The sequence below is a fragment of the Homo sapiens genome, chromosome 8, assembly GCF_000001405.40.
Source record: "Homo sapiens chromosome 8, GRCh38.p14 Primary Assembly".
NCBI classification, from domain to species: domain Eukaryota; kingdom Metazoa; phylum Chordata; class Mammalia; order Primates; family Hominidae; genus Homo; species Homo sapiens.
In genome coordinates this window covers 23,164,028-23,172,171 of record NC_000008.11, presented here as the reverse complement: position 1 = coordinate 23,172,171, position 8,144 = coordinate 23,164,028, and the positions used below count along the sequence as shown (strand labels likewise).

General features: G+C 50.4%; 1 annotated feature.

Moving 5' to 3' along the window:
• Positions 3,519–3,699: a silencer, noted in NCBI's record as "fragment chr8:23025986-23026166 (GRCh37/hg19 assembly coordinates)". NCBI's record gives its function as "represses an EF-1alpha promoter that drives an FKBP-Casp9 reporter gene in an ReSE screen in HepG2 liver carcinoma cells and phorbol 12-myristate 13-acetate-treated (for megakaryocytic differentiation) K562 erythroleukemia cells {active_cell/tissue: HepG2 | K562(+PMA)}" and the evidence as "EXISTENCE:reporter gene assay evidence [ECO:0000049][PMID:32094911]".

Sequence of the window (8,144 nt, the reverse complement as noted above, 5' to 3'; positions counted from 1 at the left end):
TTTCCTGAGGCCTCTCCAGCCATGTGGAACTGTGAGTCAATTAAACTACTTTCCTTTATAAGTTACTCAGGCTCGGACCATTCTTTATAGCAGTGTGAAAACAGACTAATACAGTGTCCCCAAGTCGTCCACGCCTTCTGTCTGACTTAGCTACTGATATATATTAGTGTTTGGTGACCCTAAATGTCTCAAAATAAATTCACTTGTGACAGAGGATCAGCCCACATTGAAATTGCTGACCCCTCAGAGTGAGAAGCGTATGTGTGGTGGACTGAGGTGATAAGAGGATTTGCTGTGGACGGGCACCCCCTAGACCAGACAAGCAAGTGAAGCCAGAAGGCAGCTGAGATCTTGGCTACAGACAAGCCTGCAGAGGGCCATAAAAACCGCAAAGACTCTGACCATAGCCAAGCAGCTGCTGCAGCTCTGCCCCCAAGAACTCTGAGGCCTCTTTCCCATGGGCTATGGAAGAAGAGCAGCGACCCCCACCCTGGTCCATGTTCTGAGGAAACCCGGACCTGCCAGTGTGTCAGTCAGCGTGCTGGTCTCCTGACATGCTCACTGTGGTCCCTTCCCCACCGTCTCATCACCGCCTGTGTGTGTTGACTATATTTGCATGAGTGTGTATGTGCAAAAGCCACACAATAAACTGTGAATTCATAAGAATTTCATTGGCCATTGAGTCATTGTGAAAACTCCTGGTTCCCCCACAACTAGGCTAATTAGAACCTGACATGGGAGCCACCAACTGACAATTCCCATGTTCTGCATCTCAGGTTTCATCATTCACTAGGCCAGCTCACAGAAGCCAGGAACACAGTTTACCTGCTATTGCCAATTTATTACAGAGGATATTTTTAATGATATCAATCAACAGCCAGATGAAGAAGGTGAGGGTTGTGAGGGTGCCCAGTGCAGGAGCTCTGTCCCTGTGGAATTAGAGGGTGCCACCCTCCCTACATACAGATGTGTACTTGTTCACAAACCCAGAGGCTCTCTGAACTCTGTCTTTTTGGGCTTTTTTTTTTTTTTTTTTTTTTTTTTTTTGAGACGGAGTCTCGCTCTGTTGTCCAGGCTGGAGTGCAGCAGTGCTATTTCGGCTCACTACAAGCTCCGCCTCCCAGGTTCACGCCATTCTCCTGCCTCAGCCTCCCAAGTAGCTGGGACTACAGGTGCCCGCCACCACGCCTGGCTAATTTTTTGTATTTTTAGTAGAGATGGGGTTTCACTGGGTTAGCCAGGATGGGCTCGATCTCCTGACCTCGTGATCCGCCCACCTCGGCCTCCCAAAGTGCTGGGATTACGGGCGTGAGCCACCACGCCCGGCCTCTTTTTGGGCTTTTTTGGGGGCTTCATTGCTCAAGCATGAGTGATCACTGGCCATTGGTGATCACCTCAACATTCAGCCCCTCTTCTCTCACCAGAAGCTGGGATGGGGGAGGGCATTTGCAGCTTCCACCAGGTAAGCAAAACCCAAGCAAAACTTCAGCAGGGGCTGAAGGTTCAACCCTCTGATCACAGGCTGGTTCCCCCCACCCCGAGGCTGTCCAAGAGCCTCCAGCCATCAGTCATTTCACTGGCATACAAAAAACACATTGATCACTTGAGAGATTCCAAGGATTTTCAGAGCTTTGTTGCAGGAAACAGGGCAGAGATCAAATATGGCACAAATAAAATAATACATATTTGATCTTTTGAGTTGCATATCCTTTTGCTATGAGGGAGTCCATGGCCAGAGACCAGACTGATCTCTGGCATGGACTCCCTCATAGCAAAATCAGTCTGATCTCTGGCCATGGATTCCCTCATAGCAAAACGATACACAATTCAAAAGATACTGGTAGGTTACTAGGTCCTCCTCAGTCACTTATAATTAGTCCACTCCAGCATCATATCATATACAAATGTCTCCCAGGGACCGGGTGTGGTGGCTCACACCTGTAATCCCAGCACTTCAGGAGGCCGAGGCTGGTGGATGATCTGAGTTCGGGAGTTCAAGACCAGCCTGACCAACATGGAGAAACCCCATCTCTACTAAAAATACAAAATTAGCTGGGTGTAGTGGCACATGCCTGTAATCCCAGCTACTTGGAAGGCCCAGGCAGGAGAATCAGTTGAACCCGGGAGGTGGAGGTTGCAGTGAGCCGAGATCGCGCCATTGCACTCCAGCCTGGGCAACAAGAGAGAAACTCAGCCTCAAAAAAAAAAAAAAAAAAAAGCATCCCAGGATGAGACCACTCAGGTTTTTAGGCCTCCATTCCACCTGTCAGGTTCCAAAAGCAGGACAGGTCTCAGCAAATATGGAGCTTCCCCCTCTCAGACATCTGGGATAATTGAGCTAAGAGACAATGTCTTCTCTTCCTCTGCGTCTCTTTCTTGGTATTACTGTAATACAAGATTTTCCCCATTACATAAACCATTTATTCATTATTTTACTCTCAGCTCCTCCTCCTTCTTCTTTTCACTTATATTCAAAGTTTTCCACTTTAAAAGGAATTGTGATGGGCCAGCTTGCTGACAGCAATACTCATGCAGCAAGCGTATCCCCTCAATCTACTTCCATTCATATAGGGCAGGGTTACATAGGTGCAGAACTAGTGGGCTATTTTACCAATAGGCAATGTATTAGTCCATGTTGCGTTGCTATAAAGGAATAGGTGAGGCTTGGTAATTTATAAAGAAAAGAGGTTTATTTGGCTCATAGTCCTGTAGGCTGTACAAGCACGGCACCTGCATCTGCTCAGCTTCTGGTGAGGGCCTTAGGGAGCTTCCAATCATGGAAGAAGGCAAAGCGGAGCCAGCACATCACATGGTGACAGGGATCAAGAGACAGAGGTGAGAGGTGCCAGACTCCTTTAAGCAACCAGCTCTCGAGTGAACTAATAGAGGAAGGACTCATTCACTACTGTGGGGAGGCAGACAGCCATTCATGAGGGTTCTTCCCCCATGACCCAAAACACCTTCACCAGGCCCATCTCCAACATGAGATCCTGTTTCAGTATGAAATTTGGAGGGACACACATCCAAACCATATCAGGCAATGTAGCTGCATATACGGTTAGCTTCTATTTTGCCAGGTGGGGCAAAGCACAACCCACACCCATCAGGTCTGTAAGAAAATTGACAGAAAAGTCTAAACACATAGTCTCAGTTCCTGGCTTAGGAGTCGTCGCTGCTTCCAGCACTTGTAGTTGTAGCCCCGGTCCTGTGGCCACTGCACCAGGTGGTGGGTGGGGAGGAGGGGAGAGTTGAGGTAATGCGGGGAAGAAAGACAAAAATGACAGTCATTGGCCGGGCGCGGTGGCTCATGCCTGTAATCTCAGCACTTATGGGAGGCCAAGGTGGGTAGATCACCTGAGGTCAGGAGTTTGAGACCAGCCTGACGAACATAGTGAAACCCTGTCTCTGCTAAAAATACAAAAATTAGCTGGGCATGGTGGCGGGGGCCTGTAGTCCCAGGTACTCAGGAGGCATCACTTGAACCTGGGAGGCGGAGGTTGCAGTGAGCCGAGATCATGCCATTGCACTACAGCCTGGGTGACAGAGTGAGACTGTGTCTCAAAAAAACCCAACAACAACAACAAAATGACAGTCATTATACTAGCATCCTCCCCACCCCCTCATCCCCAGATCCACTGGAAAAATGGAGGAAAGTCTGGTGGGGACACTCCTTTAGCCCACTCGTGTGGAGTAGGGGCACACACCAGTGAAGGTGTGGAAGCCAGCCCTTCATGCCTGTGTCTCCCCCCATTTTAGACAATCAATGTTTCAGTTGACTGTTCCGCTTCCCTATCAAATTATTACTCTAAGGAGGATATCTCTCTGCCCATTGCTAAACATTATGCACTGAACAGCCTGTTTCTCGGTCCAAGGAAGTTCGGTTTAGTGGTCCAAACTAGAATAATACCTTCTTTCAGTTCTTTTATATTAATAGCACTCTGGGCATTTGCAGCCTCCACCAGGTAAGGAAAAGACAATCCACAGTCAGTTTCTGTTGCTGTCGAGACTCACCTGTACCCCCCAGGGCACTGCCCTCAGTCTCACTTTCCAAGTATGTTGAGGGCCTCCTCATCAGGGAATCTGCCTCATAGCTATAGGCAGTCTCTGTCTCTCCCGCTGCTAGACAGAACAGCTCTTATTGGTGTCATGTGCCTGAGAGAGAGCAAGAGGAATGTGTTTCGATTCAGCCCATCTCTGCGTCACTGTGGTTCCCCCATATCCACTTCTTTTGCTTCGTGGCCTCTGGTGACCACCTCAAGGGAGTACACGGGGGTATCTCTTGCTGATTACAGTCACTTTCTAAACCTGAGGGTGGGTTCTACTGACCAGCATGGGCGTGTCTTACTTTAATGCACTCCTCAAGCTCCCCTAGAGATTTCCATAGGGTCGGGCCTCATATGGACATCCCTACACTAGGTCAGTTTCCCCTTACTCTTGGAAACAATGGAAAATGTAGAGACGAATATCCAAATTTAATACCCTTTATTTGGAAAGTAAGAATTGCAATTCTTGGCATACACAAAGACCAAGTTGTCTTTGGTACGTCCAAAGAACAAAGAGAAGTTTGGAAGTTTTTTTTTTTTTTTGAGACGGAGTCTGGCTCCGTTGCCCAGGCTGGAGTGCAGTGGCGTGATCTCCGCTCACTGCAAGCTCCGCCCCCTGGGTTCATGCCATGCTCCTGCCTCAGCCTCCCGAGTAGCTGGGACTACAGGTGCCCGCCACCACGCCCGGCTAATTATTTTGTATTTTTAGTAGAGACCGGGTTTCACAGTGTTTGCCAGGATGGTCTCGATCTCCTGACCTCGTGATCCGCCTGCCTCGGCCTCCCAAAGTGCTGGGATTACAGGTGTGAGCCACCGCACACGGCCAGATGTTTTTTTTTAAATGAGAAATACTAAGTATTTTTTTTTGCAGAAAGTTCATTGGCGCTGTAAAATTTGAAGAAGTGGCATGCTCTGACTGGTGAGTGACTGCAGTGGGTCAGGCTGGTCTTAGAGCAGCAGCTGGTTGTGTCAATAGATATAAGACAGAACTATTAATAGTTTCACGTTACAGCTGCCAGACTTACAGAGAATTGCAGTTTGGGGGTAATACAGTGATTTTTCTTCCCCATGGCCTCTTGACTCTGTTTTAGTTGGGTGTGACAAGAATGACCCAATTTGTGCGATCAACTTTCACATTCTCCTTCCCAACTCTATGACCGGGACATTGACGACTGTCCATGAGCCAGAAAAAAACTCAAGTACAGGGGCTTTTGCTGCTGTTCAAATCTTCCATAAGGCTAGGAAAATAGCATGCAATCCAACCCACCTAGCCAATTTGCCTTTGCCTTCTTCCATCAGAGGGGTGGCCTTCCAAGTAGGATGTTGTCCATTCATCTAGGAATGACTGTCTACAAACTAAGTAGCTCTTGGTCAGTAAGTAAAGAGCTGTGTATAGGGCAATGTCCAAGTGACCACAGAATCCAGCAGCTCCTCACCCAGTTCCAGACTCAGTCTGAGGGGAACAGAGGCTCCCTGCTCATGAGTGTCTCCTCTTTGCCTTCCTCAGGCACCAGGATCCCATATCAACCATTTCCATTTTTTAGGCTGAGTGAGGTGGCTCACGCCTGTAATCCCAGCACTTTGGGAGGCTGAGGCGGGTGGATCACGAGGTCAAGAGATCGAGACCATCCGGGCCAACATGAAGATCCCTCGTCTCTACTGAAAATTCAAAAATTAGCCAGGCGTGGTGGCATGTGCCTGTAATCCCACCTACTCGGGAGGCTGAGGCAGGAGAATCGCTTGAACCCAGGAGGCAGAGGTTGCAGTGAGCCTGGATCGTGCTGCACTCCAACCTGGCAACAGAGTGAGACTCCATCTCAAAAAAAAAAAATCCATTTTGTAATAGAACTCTTCTGGGACTGGCCTCCCCGTTAGAGCTTTTCCAAGATTCCTGAAGACATCATCAGTTTTTCAGGTTTCAAGATTATTTTATGTCCTTCAGTGACAGGGGAGACTTCAGTTAGTGTTCCATCTCAAGCTAGTAAGTGCCTCTTAAGTGGAAACTTGACTCTAAAGGCCCAGTTCCTTGGAGGTGCTCACAGCCTTTTGCCATTAGCCCTAGTCAGTGCTCCACACAGGGCACAGAGAATGCGTTGTTACCTGCAGTCTGGTTTCTGGTCTATACTGTGTGGTCCACCCTCCAGGGCCAAGGGAGCTAAGGTGCTCTAAGGACTTTCCTGCAGGCCCTGGTGGCTCTGTGTTAATGCTGTCAGTCTTCCTGAAGTCCCTGACCTTTCACCTCCTGCCTGGATCTGCACCCCGCACACATTCCTGACCCCACACATTTCTCATTGCCTGGGTCCTGGCACACATTTCTGACCCTAGCTCAGTGTCTGGGGCCTGGCACACATTTCCGACCCTAGCTCAGTGCCTGGGGCCTGACACACATTTCTGACCCTAGCTCAGTGCCTGGGGCCTGACACACATTTCTGAGTCTAGCTCAGTGCCTGGAACCTGGCACACATTTCTGACCCTAGCTCAGTGCCTGGAACCTGGCGCACATTTCTGACCCTAGCTCAGTGCCTGGGGCCTGACACACATTTCTGACCCTAGCTCAGTGCCTGGGGCCTGACACACATTTCTGAGTCTAGCTCAGTGCCTGAAACCTGGCGCACATTTCTGACCCTAGCTCAGTGCCTGGGACCTGGCACACATTTTTTTTTCTTTTTTTTTTTTTTCACAGAGTCTCGCTCTGTCACCCAGACTGGAGTGCAGTGGCACGAATCTCGGCTCACTGCAACCTCCATTTCCTGGGTTCAAGCAATTCTCCTGCCTCAGCTTCCTGAGTAGCTGGGATTACAAGTGCCCGCCACCACGCCCAGCTAATTTTTGTATTTTTAGTAGAGATGGGGTTTAACTATGTTGGCCAGGCTGGTCTCGAACTCCTGACCTCTTGATTCGCCCACCTCAGCCTCTCAAAGTGCTGGGACTACAAGCGTGAGCAACCGCGCCCGGCCCTGGCTCACATTTCTGACCCTAGGTCATTGTCTGGGCCCTGGAAGGTGCTCAGGGTGATCCATCGCTCAAATCCAAGCCTGTGGAGAGGATGACATTTCATTCCCAGGTTTCTCATGAGCCAAAAAACCTTCATTTCTATAGCGCTATCCTCTTCTATCTACCATGTGAGGGGTCAGGAGCCGACTCATCCCAAGGGTCTAGGAGTCCTGCCATTGACCTTACTGCTTAGGGTCACAAGCTGGCACCCTTCAAAACCACACATTGGGTCTGCCCTCACAGCGGCAGTGTGTTCAACTGGATGGGGAGGTAAGTAGCCCAAGGTCAGACAGTTGGACCTGGGTAGACAATAGACTTGGGGACAGACTTTGGAAGGCACTCCCCTGATTCCCCTGTCTCCATGGGGCCTCAATACTAGAGCCCTCAAGGTTGGTCAGGGAGTGTTTGTGCTTTGACCATGCAAAGGGTGCCAGGTTGTGGCTAGGGATGCCCCCGGCGTTCCTCTCCCTCCTACCTACTCCTCAGCCTCTGCAGGTGCCTGTCATGGCCTCTGTGTCCTTCATTCTGTCCACTCATGTGTTCACTGGGCCCCTCCTTGGTGCCAGGCACCCGCTACTGAGGGATACCAAGCCCCTGCCAGAGAAGCTTGGAGCTGGGTCACAGCAGCAAGGAGGCTGGAGACATCAGTGGCATCAGTGCACTGGTCAGTGAGGCCGCTGTGGGAGGAGGGAGTGGGAGCAGAAGCTAAGAGTGGACTGAAGTCCTGAGGCCAGGAAGTAGTTCAGGGTTTAAGAAGAGGAGAGACAGGCGGCCCGGGGAGGGAGCAGGCTCAGGATGGGCCTCCAGTGCCTCCTCTGGAGCTCACTACCCAGACTACAGCAGCGCAGCGGGCAGCGCCTCAGCTCCTTCCCCTTCTGCTGCCTACAGCCTGGACAGGACCCGGAATCAAACCGCAGGCCCTGGGTCACCGCTGCCGGAAAGAGCCAGTTCCTGTCCGTCCATGCACCCACCCACACAACCTGGGCCCTCCTGGAGGTGCTGGGGGAGACCCAGCCTGAGTGCCTGGAAGTGACTGCGGGAAGGGAGTACAACTGACCACGCCTTTTTTCCGGGGTATAAAAGCGGAGGAGCACGTTCTATTCTGGC